This window comes from Homo sapiens, chromosome 2 (genome assembly GCF_000001405.40).
Source record: "Homo sapiens chromosome 2, GRCh38.p14 Primary Assembly".
In the NCBI taxonomy this organism is placed as follows: domain Eukaryota; kingdom Metazoa; phylum Chordata; class Mammalia; order Primates; family Hominidae; genus Homo; species Homo sapiens.
The window spans coordinates 124,449,360-124,476,790 of NC_000002.12; the positions used below are offsets into that span (position 1 = coordinate 124,449,360).

Sequence of the window (27,431 nt, forward strand, 5' to 3'; positions counted from 1 at the left end):
CAACAGCAAAAAAAACAAAACAAACAAACAAAAAAACCTATAAAATCATCTGGAAGTCTCGTCATTCCCCCGACATACTTTCCCTTTAATGTCCCAGAAGATGGTTCTAAAATTCACTCTGTTGCCAGATTTAATGTTTATTTACAAGCCCATGTCTGCTTATCTTTTGTCTCTTGTGTGTGGAATCTGTATAAAATCATAGCTGAGTGACATTACAGTGAAAGTCAGCATTTAGGGAAATGAAATCCGATGAAGTTGGAACTGATTTCTTCAGGGCGTGCACGGATGTCTTGGTGCTTTATAAAATGTGCTCCCTAGGAAAGAGGCACCTTGAAACGTTTCTCTGAAGTAACCTCTGCTTTAGGGAATTCAAGTCTTCTCCAGATTGTTCAGCCAGCTTGCTCCAATGATTATAAAAGAAGATAGATTGGCTGTAATAGCGGCGTTTGACATTAGCTGTACTGGAAGACAAGAGTTACGTGTCAAGAGAAACCTCCAGCCTTTGAAGATTCACCCCAAAGTCTGTGTGGAGATGAAAGAACACTGGTGCAGAAACCCTGTGTTCTACTCACCACATGACCACTAACTGGCTGTGTAAACCTGGGAAATAAAAAGTTCTAACTTCAGTCATCCAGAAGCAAGATCCAGACCCCTGTTGGAAGGAATGGAGCTAAACAGGATATGTAAATCTAAGGTCTATTTTATCACAACGTTGCATATCAATTAGAATCTACATTGATTTGCTTTCTGCCATGCGTCCATATGTGCACAAATGAGGCCTGGACATCACCAGCTAGAGGACAACAGTCGTGTCTTTGTGTGCCAATGACTAATTTTTGGAGCATGTACTACTCTGATATATACTTCTGATATATATATATACTCTGATATATACTTCTGATATATATATATACTCTGATATATACTTCTGTATATATCAGATTTTATATCAAAGCTAATATAATTATGCAAACCTATGTTTCTTTTTACTCTTTACCATGATGTGGTAATAATGGCAAGAAAAGGTAGTAGCTTTCATTCTTCATCTTAGACTACCTTAGGGGATATCAATCAAGTGACACAATGACTTTCTATAAAGCAACTAGCATGAACTTTGCTGCACTAAGATGTCTGCAGTGGTCTGTTTCCCTTCCTGCCCAGAAGGCAAACAGACAAGAGCTCACAGAATCTGCTGTCAAAAAAAAAAAAAAAAAAAAAAAAGGGCAGAATGTAGATCCTTTACTTCTCATTAAAATGTCTTCTCAGTTTACATCACTTAACCCATGTGACTTCTCCAAACGCTGCGAGAAGGATTGTAGCAGCTCAGTTTACTTCCAGCCTGGAGCAGAAGGGCTTTAGAAAAAAAGATATTTTTAGGATCTTTAGAAAAAATAGTTCTTTTCTAACATTTTTGTAATCCAAGAAGGCTTTTCTTATCAAAAGTGCTCAGTAATCTTGTTTTACATAGCTATTTTGTAAGCTCTTAAACTGTTGAAAACATATTTGAAAAATATATATGATTCAGGAGTCAGGCGTGGTGTTTTTTCTGTAGTCCCAGCTACTTGGGAGGCTGAGGAGGGAGGATGGCTTGAGCCCAGTTTGAGGCTGCAGTGAGCTATGATAGCACCACTGCACTCCAGCCTGGGTAGCAGAATAGGACCATGTCTCTTAAAAAAAAAAAAAAAAAAAAAAATATATATATATATATATATATATATACACACACACACACACACACATAATGTATATATGTACACACACAAATATATAATGTATATGTATATGCACATACATATTTGATTTACATATTATCACTTCATAGATACTGAAAAGGCATTTTACAAAGTACAAAATATATTTTCAATGAAAATTCTTAGTCAAAAAAACAAACAAAAAATTAGATTGAACTAAACATTTTAAAATACATAGATGTTTAATCTCTGAGAATAAGTTTCACAGAAGTTTTAAATAGAGATCATATTTTTTAAACGTAAGAGTGCTGGAGTTCTTCTAGGAATGGCATAAAATCCAGAAACTTGGAACTAAGATATATAAAAAATTTCGTCTATGTAAAATTTTTTAAAACCATGTGACTGTTCACCAAAAAAATCTATATAATTATGTCATCCTCCCAAGAACTTTAAAAAGTACTACAAAAAAAATCACACTTTTGAGGCAGGGCTGGATTGCAGTTCCCACTCAGACAGGCAAAACAGCGTGTGGAGACTCGCATCGTGAACTTTGGCTCCAGAACGACTGCAGTAATACATTAGGAAAGCCCGGAGGACACACAGACCCTCCAAAAGAAGCAGATTGCTTCTGCAGGACCCAGGAGGCACCCCAAATACTGCGAGTGCCCAAACTGTGGAGGGAAAGGGAGATCATCCCACAAAAGGAGGATCATCTGCCCCTGAACACAAACCCCCACTGGGGAACCCGAAGGTCTAGATTACGGGAGAAGATTTTGACCTTACTTGGAGCTCATTGAATTTAGAAAGCTGGGCAAAATACCCAAATGAGGAAAAAGGAGGAAAATCCCTGTGGGCTTGCTGAGTCAATTTCTGCCTTGCTTCACAGTGGACCTTCAGGAGGGCTACCAGAGGCACTGAGAAAAGGCCATAGGGAGAAGGAAATCTCTAGGTGAACTTCGTAACAATTTGAACCCATTGAGAAGTCTCCTGGCCGGCACTCAAGGAAGGGCATGAATCCAGTGTCCAGAATCCACAGGTCGGGGAAGCAGGAAAGCCCTACTTATTTTTGCAGCTGTGAGGTGGGTAGCCTAGGACAAGTTCACAGCCCTGCTTTTCCACTGCTTGGAAACAGACTTGGTGCTATTGAGGGTGGGGCACGGTGAGAGTGAGACCAGCCCTTTGTGTTGCGTGGGAGCTGGGTGAGGCCTGTGACTGCCCGCTTTGCCCACTTCCCTGACAACCTGCATGACACAGCAAAGGCACCCATAATCCTTCTAGGAACATAACTTCATTGACCTGGGAACCTCACCCTAATCCTCCACAGCAGTTGCCACAAGACCTGCCCAAGTAGAGTCTGAGTTCAGACATGCCTAGCCCTTCCCCCACCTAATGGTCCTTCTCTACCCAACCTAGTAAATGAAGAAAAAGGGCATATACTCTTGGGAGATCTGGGGCCCTGGCCACCACCTGTTCCTCTCCATACTACTAAGGCTGATGCTTTCTTGAAAATGCCAGCTCCTGGGAGAAGGCCAACCAGAACAAAAGTAGTGCATTAATCAAACAAAGCTGCAGATCCTCACAGAGTCCACTTCAGGCCCCTGCAACCTCCACTGGAGCAGGTGCCCATATCCGTGGCTGAGAGACCCACAGTTCTGTGTAGTCAACCCGCAGTACCAGCACAGAGCCTGGTAGACTTGCTGGGTGGCCAGATCCAGAAGAGAGACAACAATCACTACAGCTTGGCTCTCAGGAAGCCACATCCCTAGGAAAAGGGGGAGAGTACTACATCAAGGAAACACCCAGTGGGACATAAGGAACTGTACAACAGCCTTGTGTCCCAGACCTTCTCTTTCACATAGCCTACCCAAATGAGAAGGAACCAGAAAACCAACTCTGATTATATGACAAAACAATGTTCTTTAACACCCCCCAAAAAAATTACACTAGCTTTCCAGCAATGGATCCAAATCAAGAAGAAATCCCTGATTTACCTGAAAAATAATTCAGAAGGTTAGTTATTCAGCTAATCAGTGAGATACCAGAGAAAGTCAAAGCCCAACATAAGGAAATAAAAAAAAAATCATGCAAGAAGTGAAGGGAGAAATATTCAGTGAAATAAATAGCACAAATAAAAAACAATCAAAACTTTAGGAATCAACAGATGCACTTAAAGAAATGCAAAATGCTCTCAAAATTCTCAGCAATAGAATCAAACCAGTAGAAGAAAGAACTTCGGAGCTCAGAGACAAGGTTTTTGAATAAACCCAATCCAACAAAGGCAAAGAAAATAGAATAAGAAAATATGAACAAAGCATCCAGGATGTCTGGGATTATGTTAAACAATCAAACCTAAGAATAATTGGCATTCCTGAGGAAGAAGAGAAATCTAAATGTTTGGAAAATATATTTGGGGGAATAATCAAGGAAAACTTCCCTGTCTTTGCTAGAGAACTAGATATCCAAATACAAGAAGCCCAAAGAACACCTGGGAAATTCATCACCAAAAGATCATTGCCTAGACACATTGTCAGCACATTATCTAAAGTTAAGATGAAGGAAAGAATCTTAAGAGCCATGAGGCAAAAACACCAGGTAACCTACAAAGGAAAACCTATCAGATTAACAGCAGATTTCTCAGCACAAATCCTACAAGCTAGAAGGGATTGGGGCCTTATCTTCAACTTCCACAAACAAAACAATTATCAGCCAAGAATTTTTACCCAGCAAAACTAAGCTTCATAAATGAAGGAAAGATACAGTCTTTTTCAGACAAACAAATGCTGAGAGAATTTGCCACTACCAAGCCAGCATTACAAGAACTGTTAAAAGGAGCTCTAAATCTTGAAACAAATCCTGGAAACACATAAAAAAAAAGAGCCTCTTTAAAGCATAAATCTCACAGGACCTACAAAACAAAAAATACAATTGAAAAAACAAAAACAAAAAACAGAGTATACAGGCAACAAATAGCACGATGAATGAAATTTTACCTCACATCTCAAAACTAACATTGAATATAAATGGCCTAAATGCTCCACTTAAAAGATACAGAATTGCAGAATGGATAAGAGTTCACCAACCAACTATCTGCTGCCTTCAAGAGACACACCTAATACATAAGAACTCACATAAACTTAAGGTAAAGGGATGGAAAAAGACATTCCATGAAAATGGACAGCAAAAGTGAGCAGGTGTAGCTATTCTTATATTAGACAAAACAGACTTTAAAGCAACAGCAGTTAAAAGAGATAAAGAGAGTCATTATACAATGATAAAAGGCCTTGTCCAACAGGAAATTATCACAGTCATAAATATATATGCACCTAACTCTGGAGCTCCCAAATTTGTAAAACAATTACTACTAGACCTAACATACAGACAGCAGCTAAATAATAGTGGGGGACTTTAATACTCCACTGACAGCACTAGACAGGTCATCAAGACAGAAAGTCAACAAAGAAATGATAGATTTAAACTACACCCTGGAACAAATGAACTTAACAGATATTTACATAACATTCCACCCAACAACCACAGGTATTCTATTCAACAGTGCGTAGAATGTTCTCCAAGATAGAGGATATGGTAGGCCACAAAATGAACCTCAATAAATTCAAGAAAACTGAAATTATGTCAAGCACTTGCTCAGAACATGGGGGAATAAATCTGAAAATCAACTCCAAAAGGAACATTCAAAACCATGCAAATACATGGAAATTAAATAACCCACTCCTGAATGATCATTTGGCCAAAAATGAAATCAAGATGAAAATTAAAAAATTTTTTGAACTGAATGACAGTAGTCATTCACAACCTATCAAAACCTCTGGGATACAGCGAAAGCAGGGCTAAGAGGAAAGTTCATAGCCCTAAACAACTACATCAAAAAGTCTCAAAGAGCACAAGCAGACAATCTAAGGTCACACCTCAAGAAACTAGAGAAACAAGAACAAACTCAATTCAAATCCAGCAGAAGAAAGGAAATAACAAAGATCAGAGCAGAAATAAATGAAATTGAAACACACATACGAAAAATACAAAAGATAAATGAAACAAAAATCTGGTTCTTTGAAAAGATAAATAAAATTTATAGACCATTAGCAAGATTAACCAAAAAAAAGAAGAGAAAAAATCCAAATAAGCTCTATTAGAAACGAAATGAGAGACATTACAACTGACACCACAGAGATACAAAAGATCATTAAAGACTATTATAAACACCTTCATGTACATAAGCTAAAAAACCTAGTGGAGATGGATAAATTCCTGGAAAGATACAACCTTCCTAGCTTACATCAGGAAGAATTAGATATGCTGAACAGACCAATAACAAGCAGCGATATTGAAATAGTAATCAAAAAATTACCAATAAAAAAAGTCCAGGACCAGACAGTTTCACAGCAGAATTCTACCAGACATTCAAAGAAGAATTGGTACCAATCCTATTGACACTAATCCACAAGATAGAGAAAGAGACATGATAGAGAAAGAGAGAACCCTCCCTAAGTCATTCTATGAAGCCAATATCACCCTAATACCAAAACCAGGAAAGGACATAACCAAAAAGAAAACTACATACCAATATCCCTGATGAACATAGATGCAAAAATCCTTAGCTAAACGCTAGCTAACCAAATCCAACAACATATCAAAACAATAATCCACCATGATCAAGTGGGATTCATACCAGGGATGCAGGGATGGTTTAACATACTCAAGTCAATAAATATTATACACTACATAAACAGAATAAAAACCAAAACCACATGATCCTCTCAAAAGATGCAGAAAAGGCATTTGGCAAAATGCAGGATCCCTTTATGATTAAAACTCTCGGCAACATTGGCATGCAAGGGACATACTTCCATGTAATAAAAGCCATCTGTGACAAGCCCACATGCAACGTAATACTGAGTGGGGAAAAGTTGAAAGCATTCCCTCTGAGAACTGGAACAAGACAAGGATGCCCGCTCTCACCACTCCTCTTCAACATAGCACTGGAAGTCCTAGCCAGAGCAATAAGACAAGAGAAAGAAATAAAGTGCATCCAAAACAGTAAAAAGAAAGTCAAACTTGTAGCTGTTTGCTGATTATATGATTGGTTACCTAGACAACCCTAAAGACTCATTCAGAAGCTCCTAGAACTGATAAAAGAATTCAGCAAAGTTTCTGGATAAAAAAATCAATGTAGCTCTTCTGTACACCAACAGCGACAACGCTGAGAATGAAATCAAGAACTCAGCCCCTTTTACAATAACTGCAATAAATAAATAAATAAATAAATAAAATACTTAGGAAGATACCTAATCAAGAAGGTGAAAGACCTCTACAAGAAAAACTACAAAACACTGCTGAAAGAAATCATAGATGACACAAATAAATGGAAACACGTCCCATGCTCATGAATGGGTAGAATCAATATTGTGAAAATGACCATAATTGCCAAAGTGACATACAAATTCAATACACTCCTCATCAAAATACCACCATCATTCTTCACAGCATTAGAAAAAGCAATTGTAAAATTCATATGGAACTAAAAAGGAGCCCACATAGTCAAAACAAGACTAAGCAAAAAACAAATCTGGAGGCATCACATTACCTGATTTCAAACTATACTATAAGGCCATAGTAACCAAAACAGCATGGTACTGGAAGAAAAACAGGCACATCCACCAATGGAACAGAATAGAAAACCCAGAAATAAACCCTAATACTTATAGCCAACTGATCTTTGACAAAGCAAACAAAAACAAAAGTGGAGAAAGGTCACCCTATTTAACAAATGGTGCTGGATATTTGGCAAGCTGCCTGTAGGAGAATGAAACTAGATCCTCATCTCACACCACATAGAAAAGTCAACTCAATGTGAATTAAAGACTTAAATCTAAGACCTGAAACTACGAAAGTTCTAGAAGATGGCATTAGGGAAACCCTTCTAGACATTGGCTTGGGCAAAGATTTCATGACTAAGAACCAAAAAGTAAATGTAATTTAAACAAAGATAAATAGCTGGAACTTAATTAAACTAAACAGCTTTTGCACAGCAAAAGGAACAGTCAACAGAGTAAACAGACAACCCACAAAGTGGGAGAAAATGTTCACAATCTATACAATCTTTGTCACATCCAATGACTATACAAATTCTAGAAGATAACATTGGAAAAATCCTTCTAGACATTGGCTTAGGCAAAGACTTCATGACCAAGAACCCAAAAGAAAATGTAATTAAAACAAAGATAAATAGCTAGGACTTAATTAAACTGAAGAGCTTTTGCACAGCAAAAGGAACAGTCAGCAGAATAAACAGACAACCCACAGAGTGGGAGAAAATCTTCACAATCTTCACAATCTTTGTGACATCTGACAAAGGACTAATATCCAGAAACTACAATGAACTCAAATTAGCAAGAAAAAAAAGAAAACATCAAAAAGTGTGCTAAGGACATGAATAGACAATTCTCTTTTTTTTATTAGGAAAATGTCTTTTTATTAATCAACTTTTATGTTAAGTTCCAGGGTACATGTATAGGATGTGCAGATTTGTTACATAGGTAAACGTGTGCCATGGTGGTTTGTTGCACAGATAAACCCATCACGAAGATATTAAGCCCAGCACCCATTAGCTGATCTTCCTTTTATTTTTTAAATATACATATATATTTATTATACTTTAAGTTCTAGGGTACATGTGCACAATGTGCAGGTTTGTGACAATTCTCAAAAGAAGATATACAAATGGCCAACAAACATATGAAAAAATGCTCAATATCACTAATGATCAGGAAAATGCAAATCAAAACCACAATGTGATACCATCTTACTCCTGCAAGAATGGCCATAATCAAAAAATCAAAAAATAGTAGATGTTGGCATGGATATGGTGAGCAGGGAACACTTCTGTACTGTTAGTGGCAATGTAAACTAGTACAACCACTATGGAAAACAGTGTGAAGACTCCTTAAAGAACTAAAAGTAGAACTACCATTGGATCCAGCAATCCCACTACTAGGTATCTACCCAGAGGAAAAGAAGTCATTATATGAAAAAGATACTTGCACACACATGTTTATAGCAGCACAATTTGCAATTGCAAAAACATGGAACCAACTCAAATGCCCATCAATCAATTAGTGGATAAAGAAACTAATATATATATATATAATATATATAATAAATATATATTATATATAATATAAAATATATATTACATATACAATATAATATATATAATGTAATATTTTATATATATATATATATATATATAAAATGGAATACTACTCAACCGTAAAAAGGAATGAATTAATGTCATTCACAGTGACCTGGATCAGACTGGAAACTATTATTCTAAGTGAAGTAACTCAGGAATGGAAAACCAAACATCGTCTGTTCCTACTCGTATGTGGTTGCTAAGCTATGAGGATGCAAAGGCATGGGAAAGACACCGTGGACTTTAGGGGTTCAAGGGGAAAGCGTGGGAAGGGAGTGAGAGATAAAAGACCACAAATTGGGTGCCTTGTATACTGCTTAGGTTATGAGTGCACCAAAATCTCACAAATCACCACCAAAGAACTTTCTCATGTAACCAAACACCACCTGTTCCCCAATAACCTATGGAAATAAAATAACTAAATAAATAAATAATGCTAAACAATCATACTTTTATTAATAAGTTAAAAGTGTCTACAATTTTTTAAAAAAACAGGTAACAATGAAAAAATATGTAAAGAAAATGAACACATAAAAATACAAATGACTTTCATATGTATGAGAAGATGCTCAACCTCACTAATAAAAAAAGAAATGCTAATCCATGCTAAAATATTTTCAACTTATATTGTAAAGACCAACACTTATAATATACCATGTTGACATGGAAGAAAACAGAAATATTTTATACACTGTTGATGGCACTATAATTAATAATATATAAAAGAAACAGTGATGTTATTCAAAACTGGAAACAAATGCTCTTCAACCCAATAATTCTGTTTCCAGTAATTTGTCCTACAATTATTAGCAAATGTGTGCAATGGAATATATGCTAGGTATAATACAAGATTTGAAATTACCCACTAACTTATCAAAAAGGGATTTGATTAAAAATTGCGGTCAGCCCTGCATGGGAACAGCTTTGCTCACGGTGCTCCTTGCAGGTACCCAGAGTACACTCAGCCACAGGCTTGCACCGCAGCTGATCTGAGTCTTGGCAGGACACCTCGAAATGTGAGAAGGTGAAGGCCAGTGAACAGGTGCTCTGAAAACTTACATCATTTGCCTCCCTACCCCTGTGGGAGGCCACCATGTTTCTCATCACCTCTCAGATTGTGATAAAGGGTAGAGTTCTCTGCCCTCTCCTCTCAGAATAGAGCTGCATAATACAAAATTGTTTAGCTCAATCAAGAATTGCGTTCTTGGCCAGGTGTGTTGGCTCATGCTCCTAATCCCAGCACTTTGGGAGGCTGAGGCAGGTGGATCACCTGAGGTCAGGAGTTCGAGACCAGCCTGGCCAACAGCATGATGAAACCCCATCTCTACTAAAAACACAAAAATTAACTGGGCATGGTGCACACGCCTGTAATTTCAGCTACTCGGGAAGCTGAGGGCTGAGGCAGGAAAATCTCTTGAACCTGGGAGTTGGAGGTTGTAGTGACTCGAGATCACACCACTACACTCTAGCCTGGGCAACAAGAGTGAAATTCCTCTGTAAAAAAAAAAAAAAAAAAAAAAGGAATTGTGTTCTTAGCAATGGGAATAATACAGCCCATGTTGTGGTCATCTAACCCATTTTGTTTAGATGTCATCCTTCTTGGTATCTACAGCTACAGTGAATGGCTATTCTTTGCTTAGCTGTTTGTGCAAATACAAAACTGTCTGAATCGAAATGACTCTTTTATCTTTCCCAGTCTATTGGTCAGGCTTTGGTCTTAGGCTCACCTTATGTATTGGTGCCTGACAAACCTCTATGAAAGTGTAATGCACTCATTAAAAGGAATGAGGCAATCCTATATGTTCTGATACAGAAATCATCTCCAATATAAATTGTTAGAGGAAAAATAAAATCAAGGTGCAATGCAGTGTAAACAGTTTTTTTGTGTTTAAAAAACAGAAGAGAACATATAAACATTAAAGCACATATAGGCATAGAAATTTCTGAAAGGATACTAAAGCAAGAGGTAAGTTAGAATCTCAGAGAGTAGGACAAAAAGGAAGAAAGCCTTACTTTTTACTGCATACCCTCTTTAAACTTTCTGAATATTTTACTCCATCCAGAAAAGTACTTTAAGAAGAAACTGAGGCAGTAGAAAGAATACATTATTTAAAAGACAGTTCTTATATTTGTTTTAAAGTTGCATGCACTGATTTATTTTTATTCCTAGTTTTCTTTAAAAACACGTATTACTTTATAATACATAATTAAATATACTTATTTTTTAAATTGTCTATCTCATCATCTCTAGTCCAGCCATAGAATTTAAGCTCATCATAAAGGTTGAGATTTTCTTCTTTACTTTCATTTATATCTATAGCATTTTGCCTGACATATAAAATATACTCTGTAAAAAGTTGCTGAGTAATTGGATGAATTTTATTTCTGTGAATTATAAATGATATTAATCTGCATTCTACCTTTCTTCCCTTAAGAAGTTCCTAATAGGTTCTCCATGCTCAGAGGCCACCCCTTGCTGCCTTCCTTACTTTTACTTGGCGTTGCCTAATGGACATCTCTCTAATAACAGACCTGATTTGAAAACTGGCCAGACATAATAAAACTATTTATTTGGTGATCATATGATAGAATAGTTATAGATCCTTTGTTTCCTTTGGAAATTCAGTTGCAGGGTTAAAAGTGAAGGCCTCCATCGAGGAAAATAAACTGAAAAAAATAAAGAAAAAGGAAGCAAGTAGATGCAAAGGGAAAATAACAAAAATCTCACACCAGTTAAAATGGCAATCATTAAAAAGTCAAGAAACAACAGGTGCTGGAGAGGATGTGGAGAAATAGGAACACTTTTACACTGTTGGTGGGACTGTAAACTAGTTCAACCATTGTGGAAGTCAGTGTGGCGATTCCTCAGGGATCTAGAACTAGAAATACCATTTGACCCAGCCATCCCATTACTGGGTATATACCCAAAAGACTATAAATCATGCTGCTATAAAGACACATGCAGACGTATGTTTATTGCGGCACTATTCACAATAGCAAAGACTTGGAACCAAGCCAAATGTCCAACAATGATAGACTGGATTAAGAAAATGTGGCACATATACACCATGGAATACTATGTAGCCATAAAAAATGATGAGTTCATGTCCTTTGTAAGGACATGGATGAAATTGGAAATCATCATTCTCAGTAAACTATCGCAAGAACAAAAAACCAAACACTGCATATTCTCACTCATAGGTGGGAATTGAACAATGAGAACACACGAACACAGGAAGGGGAACATCACACTCAGGGGACTGTTGTGGGGTGGGGGGAGGGGGGAGGGATAGCATTAGGAGATATACCTAATGCTAGATGACGAGTTAGTGGGTGCAGCACACCAGCATGGCACATGTATACATATATAACTAACCTGCACATTGTGCACATGTACCCTAAAACTTAAAGTATAATAATAAAAATAAACAATAAAAAATACAAAAATTAGCCAGGTGTGGTGATGCATGCCTGTAATCCCAACTACTCGGGAGGCTGAGGCAGGAGAATCGCTGGAAACCACCCAGGAGGTGGAGGTTGCAGTGAGCCAAGATTGCACCATTGCACTCCAGCCTGGGTGACAGGGTGAGATTCCACCTCAAAAAAAAAAAAGAAAAAAAAAGTCGTTTTTTATCATTATATCCTTCAAGTTTTAAAAACTGAAGATTAAAATATTTGTCTCAGGTCAGGAAATAAAGTTCACTAAGAAAAAAAATAAAATAAAAATAAAATAAAGAGTTATTATTATGTATGGCATTTTAAAATTTTGTTTAACCACCCAAAACAGCCCTGTGAGAAAGGCTATTATCTCCTATATCACAAATATAAAAGGAGGACACAGAGAAGTTGAAGAAGTCTCCAATCCCTATTCCTCAATAGCCACCAAGAAAAACGAACAGGATTTGAGCCCAGGTCTGTGTGACCATTTGACCAGAGGTTTATCTGGGGAGTAGGTTTTCCCTCTGAGGAGAGAAAATCAATGTCTGGAGATACAAGCACAGACTCTGGGGCTTGGCCTGGGCTCTGCCTGTGTATAAGACATGAAATCACATTACTTGGTGCCATTTTCCTTCTAGTTTTAAATTTAAGATTATTGTGATTTGTGGACTTGCTAACTTTATATTTCTTCAAGTTTTATGTGAGTGAAATAAGATACAAAGACTTCTCTTAAATTTGTTAAAAGCAAATTAATTGTTTTACATATGATGAAGGGAATATTTTAATACAAGTATTATACAAAAATGCATTGTTTTCATTAACATGAACTAAAGGAGCAAATGGTAACATATCTTGTTTTCTATTAGCTGCTATTAGGGGGATGCTAGTAGGTTTTAATTAGTGTGCTACTTCTAGTGGAAGTGGCCAATAAGACATTTGGAGACTGGCCAAATTTGGGCTAAATTACTGTAATCCTTAATAAACTCATGTAAAGCTAGCCAAGCCCCTCTAGGGTGTTTGTAAGCCTGAGGCAAGAGTACAGATAGAGAACCACATATCATGAATCTAAATTTGTAAAGAGTTACAAACCAAGCTAAGAAACGAATGAATCAAATATGCTCTACTCCCCTCCCTTGACAGATAGACATCCATTCACGCCCATACCCCACAGGTCAAAGTTCTGCCCACACTGCAAACAGCTGCCTGTTGGCCACCCCTCAGGAAGGCAGATGAGGGACGAGAACGGTGAAGACCCTTGAAGGACTATCAGAGCTGTTGAGGCAGGAAACTGGGTGTTGTGTGCAGAGATCATGTTCTGGAAGGCGGTGGCAACCTCCTATGTCATCTCCCCTGGGCTCATAAGGCCCTGCCCTTGTGACACAGGATATGACCGAGGAAGACCACAGTGAGACCCTTTAGGAACCCAGTTCAGGGCAGGAAGGCCCACTGGCCTGGGTATAAGGGGGATGTGAATGGAGGATTTCTATTGAACTCTTTGCTTGAATACTAAAATGTACATAATTTACCTCATTGGCCAAAGAATCTAATGTAAAAATATAGTAAATTCATTCAGACAAAAAATTATAAAATATATGTTAGGCCTGTTGGGCTGTGTCAGCAGCTGACGTCTGTCAGTCTGTGAAAAAATACCTATTTAGAGAAAGGAACTGTAGGCCTGGCATTGATCAGGTTTAAGCCAGGAGCAATAAGGACAACCAAAACAATAAGAAAAATGGTCTGAATATACCCCGTTGCAAAACCTGATGGTAGTTTGAGAATATAGGGCTGCCCTGTCAGCAGAAAATACGAGGAGCTGATTTATGCTGTTAAGAAAACATGCGTGGCGTCTGCTGCTATCACTGTGCCCCACTTCTGCTTTTCATCTCCTCCAGGGCTGCAAAAGACTCACCAAATAACATGGGCCAGTGTGCTCACTTTGCCTGAGACAAGGGGGCAAATTTTGCCAGGTTTCCCAGAATGGAGAGAGCCGTAAGGATGTGGAACATTTAGTTTTAAAAATGGCAATGTTTCAGGCAAATGAGGACAAGTTGGTCACCTTAGCCTGGGACTTTTCATTGAGAAGGCTGCTCAGTGGAACCAGGTGTAGAAGAAGCTAGGGGGACACTGTGTGTGTGGCACTTAGAGTTGGGGCTCTAGATTGAAGGATGTGGAATTCCAGCTCTTTACCTTGTGGCTCCAAGGTCTCAGTCAAGCTGCTAAACCTCTGTATGCTGTCATTTTTTTTCAGCTGTTAAATGGAGCAAATCAGAGTACCCAACTCAAAGGTTAGAGAAAAAACAGTGAAGGTCAGCTCTAAGCATGGTGCCCGATATATAAACATGATCAATAAGTCCTACTATTGCTATTACTAAAACAATACTTTGAGAGAGTGCCCAGGGTTGAACAAGAGAGACAAAATCCAGGTGAAATTTAAGGGCAATTATTGGGGTTGGGTCAGAAGCCATAGGCAGAATGTAGTAGGAGGGATGTGAGCCTGGAGCACTGGGGCAGGATGTCAGGACATGGATGAAGCAAGGGAGCGCAGGCACTTTCTAAATGAGGAGCACTATCAAGAACAGTGCTTTCTCTTACTCAATGCTGGGCTGTGTCTGGGTAAGAAATCACCCACTCTCTATCACTGGCAAAAAAGAAATAGGATAAATTTTTTGCAGAAAAAAGAAGGACACTGGAAACTTGTGAAATAATAGATTGTAAAACCAATAAGGAAGAGGTAATTGTTGGTAAAAATGTAAACAATTGCCTCGACTCATTATTTGGCTCCAAAGTCGAAGCAAAAATAAGGCATGATATGTACTACGAGCATATTAAAGTGACAGACATCAGAAGTTCCAAACATGGGACAGACTGAGTCATTCATCCTGTCAAACAGTAAAACATAAGTTACAAAACGATGACCCTGGGCAAGATTTGGAAAGCCATCGTCCAATTTTGCCTATATGCTGTTTTACTTTCTTTTTTAAATACTCAACTTTCAGGCTAATTTTTAAAAATCAGGAGATTTAACCAGAAAATTGGAATTTTTGTCCTCATTTGTAATGGCAGAAATTCATCCACCCTTGACTAGTATCCCAAAGGCTGATGATGGTGTGTTTCTCCTTTTGAAGGGCCATGAGCTTTGCATGTACCTCAGCAAACACCCAGCCAGTGTAAGTCTTAAAAGATGAAAAAGAAGACAGCAGTTTGGATCCTTTTTTTATACCTGTTTCTTTAAGAAGTGGACTGTCAGAACAAAAGTGAGACAAACATTTACAAATGAGAAACTTCAAAAGTATCAGATATTCAAGTCAGATACAAAGTGGGATCTTTAGAACAGGAAGACTCCAAATTTAAACAGGACCAGAGAAAAAGCCAACAAGGGAGGAATGAATTCCTTGCTGTGGAAGTAACATCAAAGATTGAAAAAGAGACAAGCAAATACCAAACCAAAAAAAATAAATAAATAAAATAAGATCAAAGAAAAAGAGAGTGGTAGATTCTGGGACCTCATGCATTTAACATCAATGCAGGCTTTCTCCGGGGATTTATCCTGTTGGAGCTCACCTGTGACAACAGTAAATCCAGCAAGTTACCAGATGGACTATGTTGTCCAAGACATTGAGACTGTGAGTGAAACTTTGCAATCTAATACCTGGCATTTTTGACCACTAAGATCAATGAAAGGCACACCATTCAATGACCACTAAGATCAATGAAAGGCACTCATTCAATATGCCAAGACCAAGCAAGCAAGAAAAGTAAGAAAAGAAAGAGACCGAATTGCCAAAAAAGACAATGAGGCAAAAGCAGATTTAGAAGCAAATTGTCAGTGCTCTTTTTAAAATCCAATTTAACAAATATCTGTTGAATCTATTAATGGTTTAATCATACCTCTTGGAATTACATATTCAAAAATGAATCAGATATTATCTGTGCCTCTGAGAAAATTTTAAGGAGGTATTCCACAAACATTCAACAAATGTTTCTTTCAGCATCTACTGTGTTTCACGTACCCCTTTAAGTAGGTGAAATATCTCAATGCAAAAGACAAAAGATTCCTCCCCTCATAGTGCTTGCATTCTAGCAGGAGAGGCAAACTATAAAGAATAAACACAAGTAAGTGAATTATATAGTAAGTAAGAAGATAATAAATGCTATGAGAAGAACAAAAATAGATCAAGGTAATGGATCTAGGAGTTCTTGGATGGAGGGAACGAGATTGCAATTTTAGATATGTCAGTCAGGGTAGGCATCATTGAGATGGTGCCATTTGAGAAGAGACAAAAAAAAGTCAGTTTTCCAGGATGCTGTCTGAGAGTGCTTGCTCAGCGTATTGATCTCTTTTACCTACCACAACTAGACTCCATTTTTCATGCTTCCACCACCTCTCACCTGAGGCCAAAATAAGCCTCTTTGATCTAATATTTGCCCTCTTTGTTTATTTATTTATTTATTTTTCCATTTTTACTTCAAGAAAATAATTTTCTTTAAAGGTGGTTATTATTTTTCTCCAAAAATCCTTCAGCAGAATAGTGTAACTATTCTCTGAAAATCCTTCAGAGAATACAATAACTCTATTCTTTTCAGCCTAGCCTTCAAATATCCTATCCTATGGCACCAACTGATCTTGCTTTCTTTACTTATGACTTAAAATTTGATGGTTTCCTGTAGATTTTGGTCACTAGTATGCTTGCATTGTTTCTATCATACTTTGTCTTCCATCAGTCTGTTGGAGCATGAATTTGTCTTTAGTGACTGGCCCTACACTTTTAGATAGAGGCAGCATGTGATTTATCCTTAATTCCACCACAGGGCTTTGAATCATGCTTCACAAAAAGTAAGGGTTCAGCAACTATTAAGTGAATCGAATTTGTACCAAACAATTGGAATTAACTTTATCAAGTGTTTCTAAGAGTTGGTAACAGAATAATAAGAATAAAAGAGTTTTTGATCAGTATTCACTGAAAATTACTGGTCAGATGAGACAGATTTTGTTCGGAAAGTCTGTGACAACTGTAAGTTGCCAACGAATGGATGAGCACATTACCTAATGGAAGCAGGATTTCCAGCTCAGTCTTCCATATACTGAAGGCCCTGGGCCATTTCATACAGACTATGTACTCAGAAATACAATCTCCATTCAGTATCATCCACATCTGCCAAATAATGAAATATTCTAGAGTATGAATAGAAAGGCATAATCAGATCTTCAGCATCCTCGGAAATGAAATCTGTGAAGGAAAATTAAAAATGATTAAAAACAGGTTTGAAATGCGGACAAAGGTACACCAATTAAATGTAGACAGAAAGAAAGCAGAAGTGGAAAAACTAGTACCTTTGAAAGTAAATATTAAGATCAAAACAGGCCGTTGTAAAATAATCATTATAGTCTCTAATTAAAAACACATACTAACCCCATGTGTATAGCACATAAAATATCAATAAATGCAAAAGTAAAAGACTTCTAATTGTTCCTATGCAGATATTGGTCAATAGTGCCCTTATGTGAGTACCTGTGTTGCAGTTCCAACATGCAGAGGCCCTAGAGCCTGGTTGAGGAAGATGGTTGTTGGTTTAACCAGCTATGCTGCCAGATGAATGAACTAATGGACAGAGTTCAAGAGGAAAAGCCAAGGTTGGGAATGTTGGAGGGAGCCAATCAGAAGCCAGCAGAACTAAGCAGGAGACTAGCTTGAGGATGATCAGTATTCAATTTTTGCAAAGAGTAGGTACAATAACTCGGCCAGCCCAAATCTTCCATAGTGGTAATTCTTATATGGAGGGCTTGATGGAGAGAAACAGCTTAGAGGAAGATTTTAATTTTTATTTTCAAAGTTTTGGTAAATCAGACAAAAATATGAAAACAAATGATCTGAGGGATATATTTATTAATATAGAATTAAGAGGTGTGTAGCCTATAAGTGTTTATAAAATATTCAGAAAAGAAAAACATCATTATATGAAGCAAATTTCTCCAGTCTAATTTAATCTGATAATGGACTAAATCTATAGTTCAATAGTCAAATTATAACTTCCAATTCTCAACTACGTAAAACATCTAAAAATCTAAATCAGGGTGCAAATTCACACTCATATTCAAATGCACATAAAAACGGTTTTGCTTCTTTTCCCTAACTGGATTCAATATGCTCATCAGCCTCTGTTGCTTCTAATGGTAGAAAAATCTAACCTTGATGATGAATAATAATTACTTAATGATTATTTAAAAAGTAGTACATTATTGGGTATATATTGGGTTATGTTGTGACGTTCTCTCTGTACTTTTTTCCTCTTCCCTTGGCAGATCACTAATGGGGTGGTTTGTGTATCGTGCTGCGTCAAGGGAGTCATGCCATTCACGAGTCCCACCTGTTTGGAGGCAAAAGACTTGCATCACAGCTTTCATTGCTGTTGTCTGTAGGACCTGCCTTAGTGTACTAACCAGGGTTCTCTAGAGGGACAGAACTAATAGGATACATGTATATATTAAAGGGGTTTATTAAGGAGAATTGACTCACACAATCACAAGGTGAAGCCCCATGGTAGGTTGTCTGAAAGTTGAAGATCAAGGAAGGTAGTGGCTCAGTCCAAGTCTCAAAACCTCAAAATAGGGAAGCCAACAGTGCAGTCTTCAGCCTGTGGCAGAAGGCCCAAGAGTCCCTGGCAAACCACTGGTGTAAGTTCAAGGGTCCAAAGCCAAAGTCCTCAGAGTCTGATATTCAAGAGCATGAAGAATCCAACACAGCAGAAAGAAGCAAGTCAGCTTCTTCCATCTTCTTCTGTCTGGTTTTTCTAGCAGTTCCGGCAGTTGACTAGATGGGGCCCACCCACACTGTGGGTGGACCTTCCTGAGGGTGAGTCCTCTCCTAGTCCACTGACTCAAATGTTAATCTCTTCTGGCAACAGCCAGAAACACCCAGATACACCCAGAAGCAATACTTTGCATCCTTCTATCAAGTTGGCACTTAATACTAACCATCGCACTTGGCCTAAGGGAGTGAGATGTAGTCACTTGGACTCTCCCAGACCTCCAAATCCAGCTACCAGCCCTTAACACATTTACTGATAACTTCAGCCCATTTGTACCCTCAACCTGCTCTTCTGGTCCTGGGGACCCTCAGTTGCCTGCCTCACACTGTGCTAGAGTGACCAGGTCACTGTGGAACCCCTCTAGCCTTTCTGCGTTGCCTCTTCCTCAGCCTTTGCTAACCTGTCTTCTCCTCCCCAGCTGATTTGCTCTGGGATCATGCTGAACTTGAGACAGCTCTAACAGGCTTGCAGCCATCACTGCTATGGGTACTTCTGGAGGCAGTACCTTTCTGTGTTTTCCAAGATCTGTCTTGTGACCTCTATCCATATCCACCCAACTCACATCCAGTTTCAATCCCTCAGGGAGAACCAGAGAGCAGGCCTCAAGCTACCACCTAACTGTGCTCTTGTCTCAACCAACTGCCTCTGAAAATCTTCCACCCAGAGTAGAGGAGAGATTGCTCCCCTCAGTGTAATAGGAAACTACAATTTTTTAGTATATGGTACCCTCTATACTACCTGACTGGAAAAAACTCTCCACCCTGAATATTTTCAATAGCACTGTGTTTTGCTATTTAAAAGACAGCAGCTTTTTTTCATTCTGTTTTTTTACTAACATTTTCCTGCAAACAATATTTTCTTAAACCATAACTGAGCGAAGTAGAGCATTAATTTTTTTGAAATTGAGGAAAGTAGCCAACACAAAATACAAATGTCATTAAATATTTAAAATAATAAAAATAAGTAAAAGTAACATATATCCAAATAACATATATTTTTACATTATAAATTTGATGTATGTGAAAAATTTGCAAATCCAAAATAGATCTTTTCTTTTTTTTTACATTTTTAAATTTTATGTTAAGTTCAGGGGTAAATGTGCAGGATGTGCAGGTTTGTCACATAGGTAAACATGTGTCATAGTGATTAGCTGCACAGAGCATCCAATTTCCTAGGTATTAAGCCCAGCATCCATTAGCTATTCTTCCTGATGCTCTCCCTCCTCCCAACCTTCCACAGGCCCCACTGTGAGTGGTTCACCTCCCTGTGCCCATGTGTTCTCATCATTCAGCTCCCAATTATAAGTGAGAACATACAGTGTTTGGTTTTCTGTTCCTGCATTAGTTTGATGAGGATAATGGCCTCCTGCTGCATCCATGTTCCTGCAAAGGACATGATCTCATTTCTTTTTATGGCTGCATGGTATTCCATGGCGTATATGTACCACATTTTCTTTATCCGGTCTATCATTGATGGACATTTATGTAGATTCCATGTGTTTGCTATTGTGAATAGTGCTGCAATGAACATATATGTGCATGTATCTTTATAATAGAATGATTTATATTCCTTTGGGTATATACCCAGTAATTAAATTGCTGATTCAAAGACCCATCTGCCTCTAGGTCTTTGAGGAATCACCACACTGTCTTCCACAATGGTTGCAATAATTTGCTCTCCCATCAATAGCGTAAAAGTGTTTCTTTTTGTCCACAACCATGTCAGTATCTGTTGTTGACTTTTTAATGATAGCCATTCTGACTGGTGTGAGATGGTATCTCATTGTGGTTTTCCTTTGGATTTCTCTAATGATCAGTGATATTGAACTTTTTTTCATATGCTTGTTAGCTGCATGTATGTCTTCTTTTGAGAACTGCCTGTTCATGTCTTTTGCCCCACTTTTTATGGGGTTGTTTTTTTCTAGTAAATTTATTTAAGTTTCTTGTAGATGCTGCATATTAGGCCTTTGTCAGATGAATAGGTTGCAAAATTATTCTCCCATTTTGTAGGCTGTCTGCTTGCTCTGAAAATAGTTTCTTTTGCTGTGCAGATGCTCTTTAGTTTAATTAGGTCCCATTTGCCAATTTTTGCTTTAGTTGTAATTGCTTTTGGCATCTTCGTTATGAAATCTTTGCCTGTGCCTATGTCCTGAATGCTATTGCCTAGGTTTTCTTCTGGAGTTTTTAGAGTTTTGGGTTTTACATTTAAGTCTTTAATCCATCTTGAGTTGATTTTTGTATGTGGTATAAGGAGGGGGTCCAATTTCAATTTTCTGCATATGGCTAGCCTGTTATCCCAGCACCATTTATTAAATAGGGAATCTTTTTCCCATTGCTTATTTTTGTCAGTTTTGTCGAAGATCAGATGATTGTAGGTGTGTGGTCTTACTTCTGGACTCTCTATTCTATGGTTCCATTGGTCTGTGTGTCTGTTCTTATGCCAGTACCATGCTGTTTTGGTTAGTGTAGCCTTGTAGTATAGTTTGAAGAAGGGTAGCATGATGCCTCCAGCTTTGTTCTTTTTGCTTAGGATTGTCTTGGCTATTCAAACTCTTTTTTCGTTTCATATAAATTTTAAAAGAGTTTCTTCTAATTTCATTAAGAATGTCAGTGGTAGTTTAACAGGAATAACATTGAATCTATACATTGCTTTGGGCAGTATGGCCATTTTCACAATATTGATTCTCCGTATCCATGAACATGGAATGTTTTTCCATTTGTGCTCTCTTCGATCTATTTGAGCAGGGGTTTGTAGTTCTCCTTGAAGAGGTCCTTCACTTTCCTTGTTAGCTATATTTCTATGTATTTTATTCTTTTTGTAGCAATTGTGAAAGGTAGTTCATTATGATTTGGCTCTTGGCTTGCCTGTTGTTGGTGTATAGGAATGCTAGTGATTTGTGTACATAATTTTGTATTATGAGACTTTGCTGAAGTTGCTTATCAGCTAATAAGCTTTTGGGCTGAGACAATGGAGTTTTCTAGATATCGGATTATGTCATCTGCAAACAAAGATAATTTGACTTCCTTTCTTCCTACCTGATTACCTTTTATCTTTTTCTCTTGCCTAATTGCCTGGCCAGAACTTCCAATACTATGTTGAATAGGAGTGGTGAGAGAGGGCATCTGTGTCTTGTGCCAGTTTTCAAGGGGAATGCTTCTGGTTTTTGCCCATTCAGTATGCTATTGGCTGTGGGCTTTTCATATGTGGGTCTTATTATTTTGAGGTATGTTCCTTCCATATCTAGTTTTTTGACAGTTTTTAACATGAAGGGATGTTGAATTTTACCAAAGGCCTTTCCTGCATCTACTGAGATAATCATATGGTTTTTGTCTTTAGTTCTGTTTATCCACATTTATGTATTTGGACCTTTTCTTAATGTAAATGACTCAAATTTAAAATGTTTGAAAACAGCAATAAATCAACAAAGGAGATTTTGTAATACTTTTACAAAATATTTGTGGAATTTACAAGTTCATTGGTAATTTAAAATTTTCCAGAATGTTTTATGAGATTTAGGAGCCATTCATATGATAAAATATAAAACTCAGAGACAAATTTAGACTTGATCTAAATGCTTGACAAAAGAAAACTAGAGCTCAAACTAATTTATTACTTAAAATATGAGCACAAATGGAACACAAGAGTGGTTCAATAAGAGAGAATTTGTTAACTCACAATGTAGTAATATAATTCAGCTCATCAGTAGATCAAACAAAATACTCTCTTGTCTGTCACATGGATTTTTGAAATAATCGTGAATAAAACTAAGCATTCATTCTTATTTAAAATAAATAAATAATTTGTGTGTAAAAGAGCAGAAGGATATTCTCTTCATGTGGAGTCAGAACTAGTGTTATGTATAGCTGAGAAATAAAATTTTTGTTTTGTTTCGTGATGGTATTGTTGTTGATGTTACAAGTTTGTATACCATTATTATTGTTCAATATTGCTTCAAAAATTTTGGCTAGGAGTTAGGAAGTTTTGATGGAGACAGTAAAATAGGAAATAAATGTATAAGAAATTGATTTCATATTAATTATATTGAATAAGGTGTTTTATATATATATATAAATACATATATATCATATGATTACCATCATACCTTGCAGGTATTGTGGATTCCGTTCCAGACGAATGCAATAAAGTGAATATTGAAATAATCAAGTCGCACAAAGTTTTTGGTTTTGTAGTACATATAAAAGATATGTTTATACTATATTATAGTCTATTAAGTGTGCAATAATCACATTATATTTGAAATATATATGCCTCAATTTAAAGATATTTTATTGCAAAAAAAATAAAGCTAACACAGAGACACAAAGTGAGCACCCACTGTTGGAAAAATAGTGCTGAGAGACCTACTTGCCACAGGGCTGACGCAAATCTTCCATTCATGAAAACCACAAAATCTGTGAAGTACAACAAAGCGAAGTACAATAAAACAAGGTATTGCCTGTATCTCCCTCACAAATTAAAAGGAAATAACTAAAGAGTATATGATTTAATATAAAAGTATATACAAGTATCTGGTTAAAGAAAATATACCAGCAGCAATAAGATGAGCACAGCATTTACATGATAAAATGTTTAATGAATTAAAACAATTCATATACAATGGAATTTTTGAAATCATGAAATTCATAGAAATTAATTTAATGATGGGTATGAAAACTAGAGAAAGAAAATAATAACCTTAGTTGGAGGACTTTATTAGAAATATTCTGAAAATAGAAAACAACGGTGGGTTCTTGGAAAGAAAAATCAAATATTTAAAAAATATCCATTCTTCTCTAACTAAATGTTTTAATGTAAATAATAAATTATCAATAAAAATTCTAACAAACTAGTTAAATAAAATTATTCTGTAATTAAACTTTAAAATGAAATAGATAAAATATCAAAAAATTCTCTTTAAAAATTAAAGTAGTTGTAAGTAAAAGTGGGCAACAGGATTAATAATACTCTTCACCTATTACACTGCATTAAGAAACACTTTTTTACTAGTGTGAAGCTTGTAAAAAAATCTAAAAATAGCCTTAAGTGTATCAGTAGTTATTCATATAAGAAGACATTCTGATTGGGAGACCACATCCTCCTGAAACATTAAGACAGAGACAGCTAAAAAGAGACAGTGAACTAGAGAAAGATGGAGAAGTATCCAAATATAGATATAGTTGAAGTACATGCTGACAGTGATATTTCAAAGCAGTGGAAAAAACTGCATTTCTCATTAAATGGTATTGGGATAAACCTGATAATATAAATTATCTTGATTCTTTTTCATAGTAGAAAAAATACTCATAACAGGCCGCCTTGCTTTTAAAATAATATATCTATTAAAAAGGCAATTTGTGTTAATACTAATTAGAAATAAAAGTTGTAAAAGAAGAAAACCGCTAGTATCTCATAACCTTTCCAAAGTGAACCACTATTAAATTAGGTTGGTGCAAATGTAATTGCGGTTTTTGCCATTACTTTTAGTGACAAAAACCGCAGTTGCTTTTGCCTCAACCTAATAATAACAATTCAGTGTATTTCCTCCCAGACTATGCTTTATGCTCAACTTCTTATTGTTGACATCATACTTTATACCCAATTGTAACTCTTGCATTTTAAAATCAACATTATATTTACTTCCCATTATATTACAAATGTTTAATAAGCACCATTATTGACAAGTGAAATTTCATCACATTGATTCTTAATTACTTGCTTTACAAAACTATATAGAACATTTGGAATATTTCCTGTTTTTCATCATTATAGATGACAATTGTGGACAATCTTATGCATAAGGCTTTTTGCATACAATATAGGCTTTTAAACTAGGTTCTTCTGTAGCTGAATAGAGGTATGTTTTGTTTGTCTCTTGGCTTTAGTATGGCCATATCTTTTAAGATGCTTGGATAAGAGATAATTATAAAGACATTGATTTTCTTTTTCTTTTTCCCTCCTTCTGTAAATTATTGTTTTATTTAGTATTAAAAAGGTTCAGAAAGGAAGTGAAAATGGTTGTGTAAAATAGTCCCTTAAGAAGCAAGCAATTACAGTTATTTTTACATAGGCTAATCAGTATCCTTTTAAATGTGTAATCAAGTAGCATCTATAATTATTTGAGCCATTTGGCTCAAGCATACAATTGAATCTACCAAAAACGCACGTGTTTACTTTCCTTTCCTAATCTTTCTGAGCTTAAAACTAAGAGTTTGTTTCTATTTTCACCCCAAAAGCTTAGTTTTGGAGGAATTCCAGTACCAGGAAAACCTGGGACCTTTTTAAAGAAAAACTTCCATGGATGCATCGAAAACCTTTACTACAATGGAGTAAACATAATTGACCTGGCTAAGAGACGAAAGCATCAGATCTATACTGTGGTAAGTCAGCCCATCTGTTTTGTCTTGATGGTTTCTACCACTTTGGGGTAAGTCTTGCTTTCACCAGCCCATTCCTGAACCCATTCGTAATGTGTTTATCTTATGCTCTGAGTTCCCATCAGCGTCTGACGTGACACTGGAGAGAAAGAGAATGGCAGATATTGAATCTGTGTTAATTGCACTAGTGGAAGAAACAAAGACATTAGGGCCATCCAGAGAATTCATTTTTTTTTTTTGACTGTGGGTCATATTTCAACTGTGGGTAGTATTTGCAGTCTATATTGGGACAACATGAATTTTTTATTATCTCTGGAATATGAAACAAGAAAACCACATATTCCATTAAATTCTATGGCTTGGGAGTTACATATATGTCTACTTATTGTTAATATTAAAAATAGTTCCTTTTAAATGAGGGAGATTAAACTTTTAGTGTGTTTGAGATTCTCATTTATCATATTGACAAATTAAATGATTTTCTAATTAAGTAACATTTGTCTTCCCTAATAATGAGTTTCATGAGGGTCAGGACTGTGTTTTCTTTTTACTACTGCATTCACAATGCCTAACAGAGTGCCTTAAACGTTGTAGGTGCTCAATAAACGTGTTGATGTTTCCAACAATAATTTTGGATTTGTCTGTTTCTCTCTCCAGTTCTATCCATTTTTGGTTTATATATTTTGTAGCTCTGTTGTTTGGTACATACACATTTAGTATGCTATGTATTCTGGTGGATTCACTCTTTTATCATTATATAATATTATTATTTGTCTCTGATAACTCTCTTTGCTCTGAAGTGTGTCTGATGTTAATATAGCCACTCTTGCTTTTCCTCTATAAAGGTCTTTGTCATGTAACTTTTCCCATCCTTTTGCTCTTAACCTGCCTATGTAATCATTTTTGAAGTAAGTTTCTTGTAAACAACAAATAGTTGGGTCATGTTTTTTAATTCATGCTTTCAATTTCTGTCTTTTAATTGGTCTATTTAGCAAATTTACATTTAATGTAATGAATGTTCTGGGCTTAAGTGCCTGTTTATTTTGTTTCCTGGGTTTTTAAAAATTCTCTATTTTCTCTAACGTCCTGTGTTTCCTGGATAGTTTTTAAAATTCTATTTTTCTTATCTAGTGTTAGAGTATATCTGTGTATAGCTTTTGTTAGTGGTTTCTGTAGACATTATATTATATATGCATAACTTATTGTGGTTTACTGGTTTAATCATTTTACCAATTTAGCTGATATGTAGAAACCTAATTTCCATTGACATCCCTTTATCTTCCCTTATTTATTTTACAATTGTCTTAATTAGGCAATTATATTTTTAGAACCATTTCTATATATTTAGAACCATTTCAAGTGGTATTATTTTGCTACAATGTCAAACATCATTTAAAGAATTCAAAAGGAGAAGGATAGTTTGTTGCATTTACTCATATTTTTGCCCAATATTGACAAAATGTAAAGAAAAACTCTTGAAACCACAAGGGATATGTTTGGCTTGGATTAGTATTAAAGACTCATGACTGCTGCCCATGTGATCTGCAGTGACATCACAGTGTTTGTGGGTGGGTGGGAGAGGGATGCCCTTCATATCACTGGAATGTGATGAAAGTCCTGACTCACCACTAAACCATCTCTGAGACTGCTCCTGCAGGGGATGAAGGGGGTTCCTCATGATAGCTCAGTAGCGGCAGAAGTCTAGGCTTTCCTTGTGATCGCAGTTGATACCATAGGGAGAGACTTGGTTCTATCTGACAATGATTAAATTCACAGATCTTCAGAATTGGCCTTGTAAGCCAGAGAGTCCCAGATTGATCTTCCCATATACCACCCTGGCCAGAAACTTGGGCACCTCACTACAGCATGGCTCAGTGGAAATGGGGCCATAGTCTTTTCTATGGCATTTGG

General features: G+C 36.6%; 1 protein-coding gene across 3 annotated transcripts in view; it reads left to right on the plus strand.

Annotated features, from left to right (window-relative positions):
* The window catches only part of CNTNAP5 (contactin associated protein family member 5), an 895,933-nt gene that overhangs the window by 424,073 nt on the left and 444,429 nt on the right, over positions 1 to 27,431 (plus strand). For 2 of the 3 annotated variants that reach the window (NM_001367498.1, XM_017003316.2), the window contains exon 7: positions 25,380 to 25,523. In NM_001367498.1, coding sequence (NP_001354427.1) covers positions 25,380 to 25,523 — 144 coding nt within the window. The remainder of the gene's footprint in view (positions 1 to 25,379; positions 25,524 to 27,431) is intronic. The other variant, NM_130773.4, reaches the window with a different exon arrangement.